At 41.5% G+C, this 18774-nt stretch overlaps 2 protein-coding genes and 1 pseudogene across 7 annotated transcripts in view, besides 2 other annotated features; 1 reads left to right on the top strand and 2 right to left on the bottom strand.

Annotated features, from left to right (window-relative positions):
• Positions 1 to 1405: 1405 nt before the first annotated feature.
• On the bottom strand, positions 1406 to 17640 carry PRPF38A (pre-mRNA processing factor 38A). Its single transcript, NM_032864.4, has 10 exons — positions 17363 to 17640; positions 16403 to 16562; positions 13552 to 13673; positions 11042 to 11127; positions 9618 to 9728; positions 8251 to 8363; positions 7595 to 7621; positions 7383 to 7480; positions 6856 to 6904; positions 1406 to 5594 (listed from the first exon to the last, which is right to left on the bottom strand). The coding sequence occupies exons 1-10, from the start codon at positions 17490 to 17492 to the stop codon at positions 5552 to 5554; spliced, it is 939 nt and encodes a 312-aa protein (NP_116253.2). The 5' UTR covers positions 17493 to 17640; the 3' UTR covers positions 1406 to 5551.
• Positions 5091 to 5385: a silencer, noted in NCBI's record as "tiled region #15542; HepG2 Repressive non-DNase unmatched - State 15:Elon". NCBI's record gives its function as "represses a minimal TATA promoter and a strong SV40 promoter by Sharpr-MPRA in HepG2 cells {active_cell/tissue: HepG2}" and the evidence as "EXISTENCE:reporter gene assay evidence [ECO:0000049][PMID:27701403]".
• LOC124904850 (uncharacterized) lies at positions 10720 to 10800 on the bottom strand (annotated as a pseudogene).
• ORC1 (origin recognition complex subunit 1) overlaps positions 12739 to 18774 on the top strand; it is a 36675-nt gene continuing 30639 nt past the window's right edge. For 5 of the 6 annotated variants that reach the window (XM_047421680.1, NM_001190818.2, NM_001190819.2 and 2 more), the window contains exon 1: positions 17819 to 17996. The gene's annotated coding sequence lies outside the window, so the exon portion shown is untranslated. Of the gene's footprint in view, positions 12757 to 17818; positions 17997 to 18774 lie in introns of those variants that run through there. The other variant, XM_047421674.1, reaches the window with a different exon arrangement.
• Positions 17121 to 18320: an enhancer, noted in NCBI's record as "MED14-independent group 3 enhancer chr1:52869594-52870793 (GRCh37/hg19 assembly coordinates)". NCBI's record gives its function as "activates an origin of replication core promoter dependent on BRD2, BRD4, P300/CBP and CDK7 cofactors, and independent of MED14, by STARR-seq in HCT116 cells {active_cell/tissue: HCT116}" and the evidence as "EXISTENCE:reporter gene assay evidence [ECO:0000049][PMID:35650434]".

Raw genomic sequence — 18774 nt, 5'->3', positions numbered from 1 at the left:
TCATGCTGTATTTACAGCCCTGAGTTAAATATATTTACTATTTTTTTTACCTAACCTGAGTTAGGTATATTTACTATTTTTTCTTATTAAAGCGTCAGCATCTTTCAGAATCCTATTAAGTGGTGGACTTAAATCATTTATTAACAAGATACCTGACCCAACTATGCATTCATGTTAAAATGACTTGGAGCATTCAAGATTTAAATTAACATTCAATACTTCATGTCCTTCCACATCTTGGAGAACAGGTAATGACGTATACAGGGGTGTTTATTATTCTCTTTACTTTTGTACATACAGTAGGCCCTCCATATCCATGGGTTTTGCATCTATGGATTCAACCAACCACGGATTGCAGATATTAAAAAAAACTGTGTCTGTACTGAACTTGTACAGTTTGTTATTATTCCCTAAACAATACAGTATAACAACTTTTCCCACAGAATTTCCATTGTATGAGGCATTATATGTAATCTAGAAATGATTTAAAGTATAAAGGAGGATGTGCATAGGTTATATGCAAAGACTACACTATTTTATATCAGGGACCTGAGCATCCTTGGATTTTGGTATATCTGCGGGAGGTCCTGGAACCAACCCCCCACCAGATACCAAGGGGAGGATTGTATTTGAAATATTCATTAAAAATAAAACAACTTCCAATAACAGAATGCCCCAACCCCTCAGCCTTTCTTCCTTAAGGAAGGCAGTATAAAATACCACTTGGCAAAACCTATTAACTGGCAACCTAGTAACCAACAGCCTAGGTTTTACTTATATGATAGTGTTATAGATACTAGTTTTCAGCATCTCATTTGCCCCTCCTTCAGTAACTGCCAGTGTTCAATAATTGGCAAAACTGTTCTGTTGAAAAACATATAGTTTAAAATTGATATAGTAGAAACTCAGATTTTAAGTCTGCAAAGTAGATTATGAGTTCAGATTCATTGTAGAGCAGTTAAGTAGAAAATTATCAATCTTATACAGGGAGAACACACACATTTAAGACCAAATTGTTTTGAAATGTTCTGTTTAATGACATGGAGATTAGTATTTTCCCTTGACATTAGGGTTATTAAAAATATAAATATGTACTGTATATTTGTTTATATCCCCTACAGATGGACATTTTTGCTGTTTCCAGTTATTCTTATATATACATATTATATATGTAATGTGTAAAATGATGATGGGATAAAGCTATTTGTGTGTACATGTAATTATTCTATTAGGGTAAATTCCCCTAAATGGGATTACTGGGTAAAAGGATCAAAAGTCCTAAGGTTCCTGCTACATATTGCCAAATTGCCCTTCATAAAAGTGGTTATCAATCTGTAGTTCCAGCAAACAATACGTAAAATGTGTTGGTATGCTTATAAAAAAGCTTTTAACTCCCAACAACTCATTTCTTCCTTGTAGAAATTAACATGTTTATTGTAAAAAGAAAATAAGCATTATATAAAAGTACAAAGTTTAAAAATCATTCAAAAGTTCATCAGCCAGAAAGAAGTACTATCTGGTGAACTTCATTCATTCCAACCATCTCTCTTAATCATACAGGCACATATATACAAATAGTTTTACAAAAGTGGGCTCATATGCTATATTTAACAAATATAGCAAATTAACAAAAGGAAAACAAGTGTGAAACTGAAAAAATGCTCAATTTAAATACTTTTTTCCCCACAAGAGAATCTAGTCTTGTAAGATTTCTCCTAAAATTAAGGACAATTACGGAAAACAATAAAGAGGCTATTTTTTTTTCTAGCTTCATGTATGTTTTAATTAGAGACTGTACGTGATTCCTGCTATGAAAGATGAAACCAGCACACTCTACTTGTTATTTCTATATAGACAGTGTTCATAATATTTGACTTTATAATCATTGCCCATTATTTTTAAAGTTTCTGAAGTGTTTACTAACACTCCTTTTACTGATTCTTTGTTCCTAAGTCCTTAATTTGATTCATTTCTTCTTTAGTTGAATTTCATTATTGGGCGGTTTTTTCCCAAAGACTCATGATTTGTACTTTTAAGTTCTTACAAACTTGAGAACATCTATAGCCTTTGTATTTTAAGACAACTTTGGCAAAGTATAAAATTCCTGGCACTTTTTCTCAAACCTTTGGAGCCTTTTGCTTCATTGCCTTCTTGTTATAAGATCTGAGACCATCCTGACCCCATTTAATTCTTTTTTCTTTTTGAGACGGAGTCTCACTCTGTTGCCCAGGCTGGAGTGCAATGGCGCGATCTCGGCTCACTGAAAGCTCCGCCTCCCGGATTCACGCCATTCTCCTGCCTCAGCCTCCCTAGTAGCTCTACCCGCCAGCACACCCAGCTAATTTTTTGTATTTTTAGTAGAGACGGGTTTCACTGTGTTAGCCTGGATGGTCTCGATCTCCTGACCTCATGATCCGTCTGCCTCGGCCTCCCAAAGTGCTGGGATTACAGGCGTGAGCCACCGCACCCGGCCAATTCTTTTTAAACCATCAGAATATTTCTTTATTCTACATATTTCTCTTTTCCATTTTTTATTTCCTCCAGCCTATTTTCTCTGTGCTGTTTTATGTTTTGTGGTTTCTAGTATAAGGCCTTTAAACTCCACCAATCTTATTTTTCATCTCTTAATCTCTTTTGAACTTTTTTTTTTTAAAGAGATCATGTCTGCTGTCTTTTTTGAGCAGGTGGAGAATTTCTGTCACATTAACCTTTTTGAGGGAGTGGGCAATCTGTGATCGTTCTTTTCTAAATAATGCTTATTTAAACTTCGGTCTACTGAAGAATAACAAACAGGAAGAGGTTAGAGGAATGAGCTTGAAGTTGGGTTGTTAATATTGGAACCCTCTCACCAAACCCATTCTTCTTCTTCTTTTTTTTTTTTTTTTGAGATGGAGTTTCGCTCTTTTTGCCCAGGCTGAAGTGCAGTGGCACGATCTCAGCTCACCGCATCCTCTGCCTCCCAGGTTCAAGCGATTCTCCTGCCTCAGCCTCCCAAGTAACTGGGATTACAGGCATGCGCCACCATGCCCGGCTAATTTTGTATTTTTTAGTAGAGACAGGGTTTCTCCATGTTGGCCAGGCTGGTCTCAAACTCCCGACCTCAGGTGATCTGCCCGCCTCGGCCTCCCAAAGTGCTGGGATTACAGGCGTGAGCCACCGCACCTGGCCAAAAATGCATTATTTCTTTTGCCCCTTGGAACACATCTCCCTTACTTTCTTAGTATTAAAAGGCGATTGTGCCCTATGGCAAAGCTTTTAAGTCAGTGTATTTCAAATTATTGGAAGTGAAATCGATTAAGTGGTTTCATCCAATATTAAAAACTGTTAACAAGTAGGAAACACCAGAATTCACTTTGCATAGTAAGTATTCTTTCCTGAAATTTGTCTCAGTACAGAATACAGATGTGTACAGAGGTAAGATGTAAAATACGTTTTTAAAATGTATGCTGTAGTCAAAAAGTTTAAAATGCTTCATCCATAGGCAAGCACATAGATGACAGAAAGAGCCTTACAGCAAGGTTTGTCCTCAAGCTCCATCTCCTGTGTAATTTTATCAAAACGATATCTACAGACATGCAACATGTCTTACTCTTACCTCCTTCTTCTAATTAAAGAATAGGGACATTCTCTTTCCTGCTATTGATTGGCTGTGGTACCTCAATTTTGGTCCACATATTACCATATGTCTAAACAAGTATGTTTTAATGTTTGTTTAGGGAGGTTTATTTCTGTTACTAAAATTTATTGGGCTTTGTGCGTGGGTTTATTTTTACTTTAAAACATATTTTAAGACAAAGTTTTATTTTAAGAGTGTACTGGATGACAGCTTGGTTGGTCCATGGGTCATTTCTGTCCATGCCAGAAGACATTTCTTTCTACCTAGATCACTTTCATAAAGAAATAACTGCTATGACACTGTAATACATTTACGTACAGATGCTTATATTTAATCTTAAAAGGTAGTCCTATATAGTTCTATCAGAAACCGTAAGAGCTCTTTCAGACCACTTTTATTAACTCAGGTATTACGAAAGGAACCATTGAAGAATATGAAAGCTCAAATAAGATTAAAAAATGCTTTAATACTGCTGAAGTCTTTCAATTCTAGAGCAGGCATAGAATATATAGAATGTTTACCTTATGACCAGATACAACCTCCCAAGAAAAACTGGATCCTGCAGGGCAGCTGGTCTTCACAGTTCCTGCTGGGACTACAGTTGCAGAAGTCATTCCATCACTTTTCTCTTTTTAAGGGAGTTAAGTACAGGTAAAGGAACTCTTCTAGCAAAGATCTTAATAATCTCTTGATTATCGATGTCCGTGGAGGCTTTTTAGTCCTTCCTTTGCTTCTGCATTCTTGACCCTTGGCTTCTTTCACTCACTCTCTCCTAATTCTCCTGTCTTTCTGAATGGGCCATTCCAGTTTTCAATAGGTGACTTCTATTTCTTCCTGTGTTGGTGTTGCCTATGGTTCTGTTGTGTGCATTTCTGATATATATTAACACTCTGGGAAGTCTTATTGACAGATTCCACCATTACTTAAACATTGTCAATTCTGGCCTAGATCGCTATGTTAAACTCTGGTCCCTATCTCCAACTTTATGGGCTTTTGTTTTTAGCTATACCATAGCTGTCTCAAATTAAACTTGTTAAACTGAATGCATCATTTTCATTACTACCACCATCCTCTAATTCTCTGCCCCTCTAAAAGCTGTCTCTTCCTGCTGTATTTTCTGACTTTGTGAATGGCACGACTGTCTAGCAATTTAGGTCAAAACCATGACTAATATTAGATACTTTCCTCTCCATCAAATCTTTTTCAATCCCGTTACCCTACTGCTACTGACTAGGCCTGGATAATGTCAATGCTTATATGATAAAGGCTGGATACCTTAACCTGGATTTCAAGCTTGTGGGCAAGAACAAATGAAACTATGAAAAAATGGGCTGTATAAAGGGTATTAAGTGCTGCTCTCTGTTGAACTGTTTGATGAAACTGGCTTTAATGATCCAGAAGCAGCCTTACATTTGAATGCATTCTATTCTTTCAAAACTGCTACAAACCAGTTTTCATGTTTATTACCACTTGCTGCTGCTGGAAAAAAGTTAGGAGCAACTATGTTTTACTCCTTTGATCTTTGAATAACAGCAGCAGCACAAATCCCAGGATTCTCAAAGCAGTTCCAACCACAACAAACCAAAAACTAAACTACAGCGAAATGGGAAACAGGTGTGTCCGGTTTAATAAAAAGGGAAAGGGTCATCAGGTGGCCACAGCCTTTCCTTGTCAGTCATATCCCCAACCTCCAGATCCTTTATACTCTCATAAGTTTGAATACAGTCAAGGTTAGTTGGGTCAAAAACTGATGTTGATTATGATTAAAAAGATACAAAACTCAGCACCTCCTTCATTAAAAATAAAGGTTGAGAAACTTGATAAGAAAAAAACTAAAATATTCTTATAGCTGCCTGGGGGAGATCTTAATCCTTCCACATACAGATATCCTTATATCCACAGGAGGCCATGTGGACTAAAACCAAACTGAGTCCATTACTCATTCCCTCTCCGGCTCTTCTTGTGGCTCTTCTTAGACCTGAAATGGCAACACATATAAATAATTATATTAAGAAGCAGCCAGGCACGGTGGCTCACGCCTGTAATCCCAGCACTTTGGGATGCCAAGGTAGGCAGATCACCTGAGGTCAGGAATTCGAGACCAGCCTGGCCAACATGGTGAAACCCTGTCTCTACTAAAAGTACAAAAATTAGCCGAGCATGGCGGCGGGCACCTGTAATCCCAGCTACTCAGGAGGCTGGGACAGGAGAATTGCTTGAACCCGGGAGGTGGAGGTTGCTGTGAGCCGAGATTGGGCCATTGCACTCCAGCCTCAATGACAGAGTGAGACTCCATCTCAAAAAAAAAAAAGGAGTCCTGAGAAAGACCTTGGTATGCTGACATTGATGGGGATGGAGCTGACACTCAATATTCATTAAACTGCTTGGTATTTTTTTGACTCAGAGCAACACTCTTGAGTCAGGCATTACTATCCAAATTTTACCATTGAGGAAATGACCTCTTAGAGGTTAAGAGTACACCAAACAGGCCCGGCGCGGTGGCTCATGCCTGTAATCCCAGCACTTTGGGAGACCGAGGTGGGCGGATCACAAGGTCAGATTGAGACCATCCTGGCTAAAATGGTGAAACCCCGTCTCTACTAAAAATATAAAAAATTAGCCAAGGGTGGTGGCGGGCACCTGTATTCCCAGCTACTCGAGAAGCTGAGGCAGGAGAATGGCGTGAGCCCAGGAGGTGGAGCTTGCAGTGAGCCGAGATTGCGCCACTGCACTCCAGCCTGGGAGACAGAGCGAGACTCCGTCTCAAAAAAAAAAAAAAAAAAAAAAAAAAAAGAGTGCACCCAACGGTATATGGCACATGGGGGTTTCTAATGAAATCTTATCAAATGAAAGTGACTTGTCCAAGGTCACTCAACTGTTAAGTTTTAAAACTTGGGACTAAACCCCATGTTTTCTGAGACCAAAGCTCATCCATTGTCCAAAGCTGCAATCCTGTAAAGCAAAACAGGTATCAGCTTGAACCCGGGAGGCAGAGGCTGCAGTGAGCCAGGTTCACGCCACTGCACTCCAGCTTGGGAGACAAGCACGAAACTCAGTTCTCAAAAAAGAGAAAAAAGAAAAAGTTATCTAACCCCAGTAATTCTCAAAGCAATAGACCAATTTTGTCTTGTAATGCAGGAGAATTCCTAACATCCCCCAACAAAACAAGAAAATTTCAGGTCCAGTTAGTTGTAATTTGGACTATTTCTGTAAAGTTAAAATAGAGGTCAATTCATTACCTTTCGGGAGACTTTGAGTGGCTCCTGTGTCTGTGACTACGGTGATGACCTGGGGAAGAAAAGGCCATTGCATAAGATCCTACCCTTCTACTCTTATTAAACTGTCATTCTCACCTCCCCTAATACCTGCCATTGGCTTAATATTCTTTTGGCCTATGCAGGGGACACCTCTTAGTGGAAGCAACTCTGAATTAGTGGAGGAAGAGGGAGCAAAGAAAGTAGTAATGAAACCAGTTCAAATACATATACATTCAAGGGCTTTATGACTAATTTCACAAACATCATATTGGGTTTTCACTATTATGTTAGATCTTATTCCTCCAATTTTAGATGAAAAAACTAAAGCAAACCTTATCAGCAAAGCTTATAAGTGACAGTCAAGCTGTGAACCTTAATTTTCAAATTCTATGTCCATTTGCTTTTCTGTTAGGCAGTACAGTCAGGCACTCCTGTACTGCAGGAGGCTAACTACTCCTTTTACATTTCTTTGTTAAGACAACCTGTGGCAAAAGGCCCACAAGCTTTACCTGGGGACTTGGAACGGGATCTGTGCCGCCGATCTCGGGACCTGCTGCGGTGACGTCTTGGACTCTTGCTCCGATGCCTTTCTCGGCGAGGGGAGGGGCTGTAGAAAAGACTGGTCAGACTACCAGATCTGGTTAGCAATATACATATAACACCAATACCACCACCCCCTCCCCAAAGCCCTATCCTTCATCACAAATGACTGAAGGCCTACCTTCTCCTTTTGGGAGATCGACTCCGCCTATAAAGAGGAGAGGAAGAAGAAAGCCTAGGTTGGCGCACTGGATGTGGTAGATTGCAAAAACGGCCCCAATCTTATCCTTCACGCTTCTCTGTATCACCCACCTCTGTATCCATGTCTTTTGTCACGTAACTCTAGCACCCTCCCATTCTAACTTTAGGACTGGTGACATGACTCGCTTTGGCTAATGAGATATTTGCAAATGTGATAAAAGCAGATACTGGAAAAACATTTGCATGACCGGGTTTGTTTGCTCTTGAGTTCTGCCACTACCATGAGAATATGCCCAACTTAGCCTGCTAGAGGATGACACAGAGAAGAGAAATTTCCCCCGTCATCCAAGCTAAGGCAATTCCATACCAGCCAGTAGACAGCCGACAACAGAACAGGTACTTTAAAAACTGCCTATCCAAGCTCTGCTTAAATCATTGACTGCAGACTTGTGAAAGGAACAAATGGTTATTGTTGTCTGCCAATGAGGTTTTATAGGTGGTTGTTTTGCAGCAACAGATAACTAATATATTGGGCAAACATTCTCCATAGACGTGCATTTTTCCTTCTCTAAAATCCAAACTTCTAGGCTACAGTGCTCAAAATCTTCTGGGAAAAGGCCAATGACTAGGCTTTACCTTCTGGGAGACCGGCTCCTACTCCTCCTGTAGCGCAGTGTGGGAGAGCGACGGGGCTTGTCCAAGTCTCGGTAGCTTCTCCGGCGGTGATCAGGTGATGGCACTCTTTCCAACTGGAAACAAGATGATTGGGTCATTGAAAGGCACAGGCTTATAAAGAGCCATCTAGGAACACTAATTATACTTCACGCCCCATCTTGTCCCAAAGTCCATCTCCATGTGACTTTAAAGCACAGTAACCTGACTACAAAGAGGGAAGCACTTACCCTATTAACTAACAAAACTTATTATGAGCTATATAAGACAGCCAAAATGACTCATAGGAGAGGGAACAGAAACAGACCTGTGTGTGTGTATGTGTGTATGTTTAGTTTATCTGCAGCCTGGGCAACATGGTGAAATCCCATCTCTACAAAAAAAATACACAAATTAGCCAGGTATGCTGGCACGTGCCTGTAGTTCCAGCTACTTGGGAGGCTGAGATGGGAAGACTGCTTGAGCCTGGGAGGCCGAGAATGCAGTGAGCCACTGCACCTCAGCCTGGGCAACAGAGCAAGACCCTATCTCAAAAAAAAAAAAAGTTTGCTTCCTGGAACAACTGGGCAGCTTGGTTGTTTTCAACTTTTCAGCACCGTAACTAGTACTGAAAGAACATGACTATGCGGTTGACATTTTCCCCCTCCTAAACAAGGTTTATTCCTTAGGATAGGTGCAATTATGAAAGTGTTCTTTCTTTCCAAGTATTTAATAGCTGCCACCATTTATTAGGCAATTATAATGTGCCAATACTCTGCTAAGGGCTTTAAGTTTATAATCTTATTTAATACTTTTAACAGTCTTGGGGAAAAAAGTATCATTAACCTCACTTTACATAGGAGAAAACTAAATTTAAGTAATTTGCGTAAGATTATACTACTAGTATATGGCAGAGCTGAGGTGCTTTTAATAAGGAAATATTGTTTTTGGCTAGAGTTAGAAAAAAAATTTTTTTTGAGACGGAGTCTCACTTTTGCCCAAGCTGGAGTGCAGTGTTGCGATCTTGGCTCACTGCAACCTCTGCCTCCCGGGTTCAAGCAATTCTGCTGCCTCAGCCTCCTGGGTAGCTAGGATTACAGGCACCCACCACAACGCTGGCTAATTTTTGTATTTTTAGTAGAGACGAGGTTTCACCACCACGTTGGCCAGGCTGGTCTTGAACTCCTGACCGCTGGTCATCCACTCGCCTTGGCCTCCCAAAGTGCTATGATTACAGGCTTGAGCGACCACGCCCGGCCAATAGAGTTAAAAATTAAAGTCTAAAAACAAAAAACCATTCCCATTTTCTATTACTCCCTCCCCTACAACCATAAAAGTCTCAGGTGCCAGACCTTCTCATCCTCCTCTTCTTCCTCTTCACTGGACTCCACATCATCCATGTCCTCTTCCAGAGCACTAACTCGAGGCTCCAGTTGCTCAGCTTCCTCTAATACATAGCGTTTCTACAGAGAAAATGATGAGAGTTAGGGGTTGTTGCCATTTCCCCTATTTCTTGAAACCTCAACACTGGGCTTCAGGGTTCCAAGGAGCAACAGCTGAGGCAATTTCATTTCAAAGACAGTTCAAGATTTTCCTAACAAGTTTAATAGACCTGAAATCTATAAAGTTCTCCTATAAACATAAATACAAACCTGAAGAGAACATCTTCATTTTCTATTGACTCTATTCCCTGTACCTTATACTCTAAAGTCATGGGAATATCAATCAGTATAGGTACAGCCTAGAACCAAAAGTAAGGGCTTCACACACAGAGAAAATCCAAGGGCTAATAAGTTCATGGCTGGTAGTTCCACTAGAAGAGGCCTAGCCCTAGAGTAGTACCAAATCTCCAGTAGACCCAGGATCTCGGGAGCTGTTGATATTCATGCATTTTGAACTGGTTCCATTTTAATCTGGGATATGGCTTAGCAATGTTTATTTGAGTGGCTAAGGATCAGAGAGGCAAAGCTGATTTCAAAAATGCCAAATGGCTAAATGTAGTGGCATGTACCCGTGGTCCCAGCTCCTTGGGAGACTGAGGTAGGAAGATCCCTTGAGCCCAGGAGTTTAAGAACAGCCTGGGCAACACAGCAAGACATTGTCTTGCTATAAGAATTGGGCCCTCAAAGTAGGTTTTCAAATTTATAATCTCATTCTTTCCACTACATGCCCTACAGTGCCAACATGGAACAGGAGAGCTGTATCACACTCATTTCCTGAAAAGATGCCTCATGGATAATCGTTTATCACTAGGAAAGGGAAGCAGGATGGTGAAGGCAAGTTTAAGGAATTAATGGCTCAGTCTCCCACTCCTGGCCCTATTTTTATCTGTTTTATGTCCTGGCTTTTTACATGAAGATTAGTTTAAAAAAAACGTTCATGAAGTTAAAAACTCCCTACCTACTCTAGCTACAATACCCTTGATGTAACATCCTGAATAAATTTCTTTTTTCATGATAGACAGGTAATGTGCTGACTTTGTAACAAGGTTTGAGGGAGGCACAACTCACACATGCACCTGAACTACAAAAGGATGGAGAAAAACAAAGTTTCCTTGTTTTAAACCATTCACTTTTAAAGCCCTACCCTTCAAATATTTTATCTATTTTCCTCTCACTCCCAATCCACTATCTTGGGACTCCCAGACAGGAAGACTATTCATTAAGAGGACCCATAAGATCCACAGGCTTCAGTGTTTAAGCTGTGTGTATGTGTTTGTCTGTCTGCCCGTCTAGGAAGAGAAGGGTGACTCTGGTAACAGACTTTTATTTCTTACCTGTAGTCGGGGCAGAATGATATCACAGACTCTCTCACTGTGCAATAGTTCATCAATAAACTCATCAACATGCATCAATTCAAACTCTGCAAGAAAAAGTCATTAGAGCAAACAACCTGGAAATAAAAGATTTAGATGCCAAAAAGTAAAAGAAGTGTTAAGACTTCATATCAGGACATCTATGTGCTAGGCCTCTTTAGAAGAGATTAAGGGATGAATGAAGATGTCCCAATTAGCAGGAGACAAACACAAAAACAAGCACAAACAGTCCTGAATTATGTAGGGATGATCTTGAAGAGATCATATAACTTAAATATAATTTCTCATCTGAACCTTCAATGTTTCTGAATTTAGAACATGTATCTTATATGGCACATGGAGTGATAGCTTTTGAGAACTGGCTAGGAGTGGTGGCTCACGCCTGTAATCCCAGCACTTTGGGAGGCCAAGGCAGGCAGATCACTTGAGGTTAGGAGTTCAAGACAGGCCTGGCCAACATGGCGAAACCCCATCTCTACTAAAAACACAAAAATTAGCTGGGCATGGTGGTGGGCACATGTAATCCCAGCTACTCAAGAGGCTGAGGCAGGAGAATTATTTGAACCTGGGAGGCAGAGGTTGCAGTGACCTGAGACCACACCACTGCACTCCAGCCTGGGCAACAGAGTGAGACTCCATCTCAAAAAAAAAAAAATTATATGTCTATATATATGTGTGTGTGTGTGTATATATATATATACATCTATATATATATAAAAGTATCATTAACCTCACTTTACATAGGAGAAAACTAAATTTAAGTAATTTGCGTAAGATTATACTACTAGTATATGGCAGAGCTGAGGTGTTTTTAATAAGGAAATATTGTTTTTGGCTAGAGTTAGAAAAAAAATTTTTTTTTGAGACGGAGTCTCACTTTTGCCCAGGCTGGAGTGCAGTGGTGCAATCTTGGCTCACTGCAACCTCCGCCTCCCGGGTTCAAGCAATTCTGCTGCCTCAGCCTCCTGGGTAGCTGGGATTACAGGCAATTTATATTATATATAAATTATGTTATATATAAATTATGTTATATATAAATTATATATGATTATGTATATTTATATATTTGTATGTAAATATAATTATAAAATGTATATATATGTGTGTGTATATACACATATACAAATACATATATATACATACATACATATACATATATAGCTTTTGAGAACTTCCATGGTAAACATTACCTTACTTCTGGGGTTCTCAACCATGGGCAATTTTGCACATGCCCATCCCCCTACTTAGAAGGAGGTGTTACTTCCATCTAGTGGGTAGAGGCTAGAGATACTGCTACTCATTCTATGATGCACAAGCCAATCCTCACACAAAAGTTATATGACCCAAAATGTCAATAGGTTCAGAAATTCTTAGTTTTACGTAATAAAATAATAAATAAATAACTCCATCATGGCCATGACCATGTCCATCTTGTTCACCATGGTATTTACACCACATAGCACAGTATGTGACATGTCAATGGCACTTAATATGTATTTATTCAATGAATGAATCAATAAGTTTAAAGTATAATACCAAATTCTATTTTTTTAAGATGGAGTCTTGCTCTGTCGCCCAGGCTGGAATACAGCGGCGTGATCTCGGCTCACTACAATCTCCGCCTCCTGGTTCAAGGGATTCTCCTGCCTCAGCCTCCTGAGTAGCTGGGATTACAGGTGTGCACCTCCACACCCTGCTAATTACTGTAGTTTTAGTAGATATAGGGTTTCACCATACTGACGAGGCTGGTCTCAAACTCCTGACCTCAAGTGATCTGCCCATGTTGGCCTCCTAAAGTGCTGGGATTAGAGGTGTGAGACACCGTGCTTGGCCCCAAATTCTTAACCTTCTACTGTTTAATGATACATGTAGGGGGAAAGGTAAATGTTCCTATCTTCTGTTATGACACCAAGTGAGAAAAGGTTTTGACTGCATTACCTGGAATCCCTCCTTAGCACATTAAGTAATCTCCTTGTAGAAGGTATGGAGCTGCCTCTCTTGGATATACTTATTTTTCAGTGGGATTCCTGTATAAAAATGAGTAGTCTTATATGCTGCAGTGTGAATTACAGTGTTAGAGGAGAGGCCAGTAGAAAGAACTGTGAAGATGTAAAATATGGAAAACTAATTTTGTCTGAGAGGGCTGGGGAAGGTTTTTATGGAGAAGCCATTCTGCAGCTAGATCTTTTGGGATGGAGCACATGTAAAGGGGGCATATGATGCAAGGCAGGGATTAACATAAGATGCACTTGGAAAGGGAGACAGACAGAGGCAGGCTGGGTAAGGCCAACACGAAGCTAGTAGTCAGACTGAAAACTCCCATGAGGGACAAGGGAAAACCTGCATAGAGACAGTAACAATGTAGATGAAAAGGAGCATTCACACTGTCTATGACAATGCAAAGGTAGAAGTACTGGTAAAATAAAAACTGGCTTAAAAATGACAATCAGGAGACTTAGCACCATACTTACCCCCATTTCGGTTCTGGCTCTTGATTTTTCGATAGTCATTGTACAAAGGTTCCAAGTACTTGTAGCAATCAATTGCAGTGCCTGTCAGCCTCATGTAAAGTGCCCCCAGCATGCGGACATACCTGAGAGACAGATGACAGTGAAACAACAGGCCATCCTAGAAGTTCCTGAGTTTTACAACTAGCTGTTCTCATGACAGTAGTGGATAAACATGTTCTTCTCTTTGGCAGGTAAGAAAGCTGCAATTGTGGAGGTAGAATGCAGCAGAAGAAAGACAGCTAAAATATGGAGACCTGAGTTCAAGTTCCCATGCTACCATTTATGGCTGTGGGAACATCATACATATTGATCAACTTTCAAATATATCATCAGTAAAACTAGAATAAAACCTATTTACCTCACAGGATTACTCTAAGAATCAAAAGAAATACTGAATTTTATTTTATTTTTTAAGGCAGAGTCTTGCTCTGTTGCCCAGGCTGCAGTGCAGTGGCACGATCTTGGCTCACTGCAACCTCCGCCTCCTGGGATCAAGCAATTCTCATGCCTCAGCCTCCATGTAGCGAGGATTACAGGCGCCCGCCACCATGCCCAGCTAATTTTTGTATTTTTATTTATGTATTTATTTATTTCTTGAGACAGAATCTTGCTCTGTTGCCCAGGCTGGAGTGCAGTGGCACGATCTCAATTCACTGCAGCCTCCACCTCCTGGGTTCAAGCGATTCTCCTGCCTCAGCCTCCCAAGTAGCTGGGATTATAGGCATGTGCCAACACACCCAGCCTAATTTTTGTATTTTTAGTAGGGACCGGTTTTGCCATGTTGGCCAGGCTAGTCTCAAACTCCTGACCTCAGGTGATCTGCCTGCCTTGGCCTCCCAAAGTGCTGGGATTACAGGTGTTAGCAACCATGCCTGGCATATTTTTGTATTTTTAGTAGAGACGGGGTTTCCCCATGTTGGCCAGGCTGGTCTTGAACTCCTGACCTCAAGCAATCCACCTGCCTTGGCCTCCCAAAGTGCTGGGATTACAGGTGTGAGCCACCACACCTGGCCATATATTGAATTTTAAAACAGAAAGAAGATATATTTAATAACAATACAAGAACAAGTACACATAAACATGACTGCTGGTTTTGGAAAAAAGTAAGTCATCTGGGTTCAAATTCTGACTCCGTAATTTACTAAGTCTGTGACACTACTGGTCAAATCATGTGTTTTCTCAATCCTTGTAAAACGGAGATAATGCTACCTAATTTATGGCTTGGTATATAAACAAGAAATGCATTGAAAGTGCTAAGTATAGCACAGAGCACACAGTAAGTGCCTAACAAAAGTTAGGTATTTTCTAGCTGTTAATGCTTTATTAGAGTCGTTCCAGCCAGGGGCGGTGGCTCACGCCTCTAATCCCAGCACTTTGGGAGGCGAGGCAGGTGGGTCACCGGGTCAGGAGATCGGGACCATCCTGGCTAACGCGGTGAAATGCCGTCTCTAGTAAAAATACAAAAAATTAGCCGGGTGTAGTGGTGGGCGCCTGTAGTCCCAGCTACTTGGGAGGCTGAGGCAGGAGAATGGCATGAACCCAGGAGGCCGAGCTTGCAGTGAGCCGAGACTGCGCCACTGCACTCCAGCCTGGGCAACAGAGCGAGACTCTGTCTCAAACAAAAAAAAGAGTTGTTCCTCTTCCCTTTTTCCTATATCTAACTACTTAAATTTCCTCTTGGGTAACTAGGAGGCTTTTGAAAGTCATAGTTTCTTTGTACGAGAAGCAGAATACTGTAGCAAAGAATATGAACTCTGAAGCCAGATTTGCCACTTACTAGCTGTTTGAACTTGGGCAAAATTAATTAATCTCTGTGCCTCAGTTTCCTCTCCTGTAGAATAGGGATTAAAAGTTTAGAAGGTTGTTGTGAAAGTGAAATGAATTATTATATGCAAAGCCCTTACAGCATGGCACATAAGAAGCTATTATGTCTGTCTCCTATACTTGTTTGTGATTTCCTCGAGAATCGGTAATACGGTAATAAGCTGACATTTTCTAGGTGTTTACCATGCAGCAAGTGCTGTGTTCAGAGATCTGCATGCATTACGTTCTTTCACTCTTATATTATAGTCACCATTTTACAGATAAGCAAAGTTTAGAAAATTAAGTAACCTCTCCAATGTCATAGTTAATGGGCAACAGAATCTGGATGTGAACCCAGATCTTACACCTCTTAACCACCACCTTTTGTTGTTTGATTTTCACCCCTGAGCGTCCAGTGCCTACCAACATATCAGGCACTCACTTTTGCTTAATATGTATTTAGTGAATCTGTGAAATCCTTTTTCAGGGAAAAATTACCAAAACTGAGAAAGTAAAGTAGAAGATTAATACAATCAGAACAGATAAAATACAAACTTGGCAGGGTGTGGTGGCTCATGCCTGTAATCCCAGCACTCTGGGAGGCCCGGGGGGGGAGGGGATTACCTGAAGTCTGGAGTTCGAGACCAGCCTGGCCAACATGGTGAAACCCCATCTCTACTAAAAATACAAAAATTAGCCAGGCGTGATGGCACATGCCTGTAATCCCAGCTACTCGGGAGGCTGAGACAGGAGAATCACTTGAACCCAGGAAATGGGGGTTGCAGTGGGCCGAGATCGCACCACTGCACTCCAGCCTGGGCAACACAGAGAGACTCTGTTTCCAAAACAAAAAACAAACAAAAAATACAAACTCAAGGGCTCAAAAGCAAAAATCTGGAGTGGAACTCTCTAGAAATGAGATACATTGTGTACACCCCTCTTAACCAAAGCCCAATTCTAAACCGCCAAAATTAAACCTCTTATATTAGCTAGTGAACATTGCACTCACTTGAAATCTTCATTTTTGATAAACTCTACAATGATATCCTTCTCGGGTTGAATTTGAAGCATCTTCAAGGTTAAACACAGAAAGGGTGTTGGTTTTATGTTGCCACCATAGACGCCACCCACAAACCTTAACTCCATGGCTTTATCGACTACAAGTTCAGCTAAAAAACAAAAACAATACAGTAACATATTAGGGCTAAGCTCTTCCTAGTTGGAGTGGAGTTAGTTCAAGCTTTGGTTCTCCTAAATATACATCAACAGTGTAATATTAGGAGAACGAATGTGTATTAATAACAGTAACGACAACAGCTAATATACATTGAGAATGGATAATAAAATAGGTACCCTGCTAAGCTTTTCATATTATCTCACTTAACCTTTTTTAACAAGTCATGAAGAAAGTTCTAGCAATGTTCTTATTTCCAGGTAAGGAAAATGAGGGCTAAGAAAGGTAAAGTGACTTGCTCAAGGTCCACAGATTGTCACAGGACATGGATTTAAAGCCACAATTCAAATCGGAAGATTACCTGGAAGACTTCTCTGAAGCACTGATATTTATAAATACTGGAACCGGCCCAGATCTAAGAATAGTAAGATCATGAATTTGGTTTCAGGCATATTAACGTTAGGTCCTTAAAGACCTTCAACAGATTGTGTCAAAGTGTTATATCCGGATCCCTGAGCTTAACACTGTTGCAACCCAGCCTGCTATCATTAAATACGGAATAACTCACAACACCCAACTGAGACAGCCTTCAGAATATGACCTTACCAGATTCATCTGTGCCTCTAATACTCAACACAAGACGAGGCACTTAGCAGGCACTCAAAATTTTTCTGAATGATCGACATACTCCGTTCCAGTACCACCCCCAGAGGCCAGTCGCTAGTCCTACCCGCGCTCGGTCAGGAGAAATGGGCCACAAGGGGGCTGAGAGGCGCTCCGCGCGCTTCCACTTACCTGTAAGTCCAAAGCACTCCTCTTTCCAGTACTTGGACTCATAGATTCGCGTTCGAATGATCTTCTCCACCAGATATTGAGGGTTGGTGCCATGGATGCTGTGCGCATCCTTCACTGTACGGTTAGCCATTTTAGAATGCCTTCAATTCTATTTCCGTCGGATCCTTTAATGCCTCACATCCAGGTTCAGAAAAAGCACCTAGAGGAATGGAGAAAGGTGGAAGAAGTTTCACTAAACAGCTTAGGCGACCATCTTGAAGCCGGAAACACCGTAGTGTAAAGGGCTTCCGCTCCCCGCGTCGCCTATCGAATCAATGATGGCGGCTGCATGTTAGCGGATGTACGTCATGCGCCCCTCTTAGGTGTACGGAGTGGGCGGGGCGAGCTAGTTGGTGTCGCAACGAAGGGACGGTCTGGGGGCGGGGCCACGCCGATTGGCGCGAAGTTTTCTTTTCTCCTTCCACCTTCTTTTCATTTCTAGTGAGACACACGCTTTGGTCCTGGCTTTCGGCCCGTAGTTGTAGAAGGAGCCCTGCTGGTGCAGGTTAGAGGTGCCGCATCCCCCGGAGCTCTCGAAGTGGAGGCGGTAGGAAACGGAGGGCTTGCGGCTAGCCGGAGGAAGCTTTGGAGCCGGGTGAGTGTGGCGTCCAGCGGGCTGCGAGGGACTCGGGGGAGGGCGCATCGGAACCTCTGAAACTGAGGACGTTCTCTGTAGACTCAGTCATTGATTCTTTTAGCTGACATGTACCAAGCGCCTGTTCAGTGCCAGGCACTGTTCTGAACTGTTAAGAGCGTTCCTCTGTTCCACACTCCGATTCCTAAAAGGCTTCCCGCGCTGCAGGGAACTGAGTTTGCAGGGGGGAAGGCGGAAGCCAACAGCCTAGAAGCAGGAGCATTCCTGCCCTCCGCACCCTGATGCTCAGTGATGACTTTCCCTCCATCTGCATTTGTAAAGCACTCTACTTGTTTCGTTCTTTGAGCTATAGTGTAGGAACCACTACAGGGAAGGCGGAGCAGAGGTTATTACCCCATTTTACGGACGTAAATTGCGCCCAGGGAGGGACGTGTCTTAGGTCGCTTTTCGTGACTAAGCAGTCTGGGCTCCTACCCAGATCTTTTTTTCAGATGAGCTCCTAACTGCTGGGCTGTCTGTCATTCACCTTCTTTTCAGAAGAGAAGTCTGGTGGCCCCCTTCCTACTTCTCTTTTCTAACCCCGGAATTGAAGAGTCTTCTGCTGTGACAGTTGGAAAAGGCATTCTTATCCTGATCTATTTGTGAAACTGCAATGATTATATACGATTCTAGTTGTCTGTAACACATGAATAATAGTACCCTCGTCTCTGCTGTGTTAGGTGGGCTGGAAATGCCAAAGGAGTTTCCAATATGACAGAATGGTTTAAGTCCCTTTGCA

Source organism: Homo sapiens, chromosome 1 (genome assembly GCF_000001405.40).
Source record: "Homo sapiens chromosome 1, GRCh38.p14 Primary Assembly".
Lineage (NCBI taxonomy): Eukaryota > Metazoa > Chordata > Mammalia > Primates > Hominidae > Homo > Homo sapiens.
This window is presented reverse-complemented; position numbering and strand designations above follow the sequence as displayed.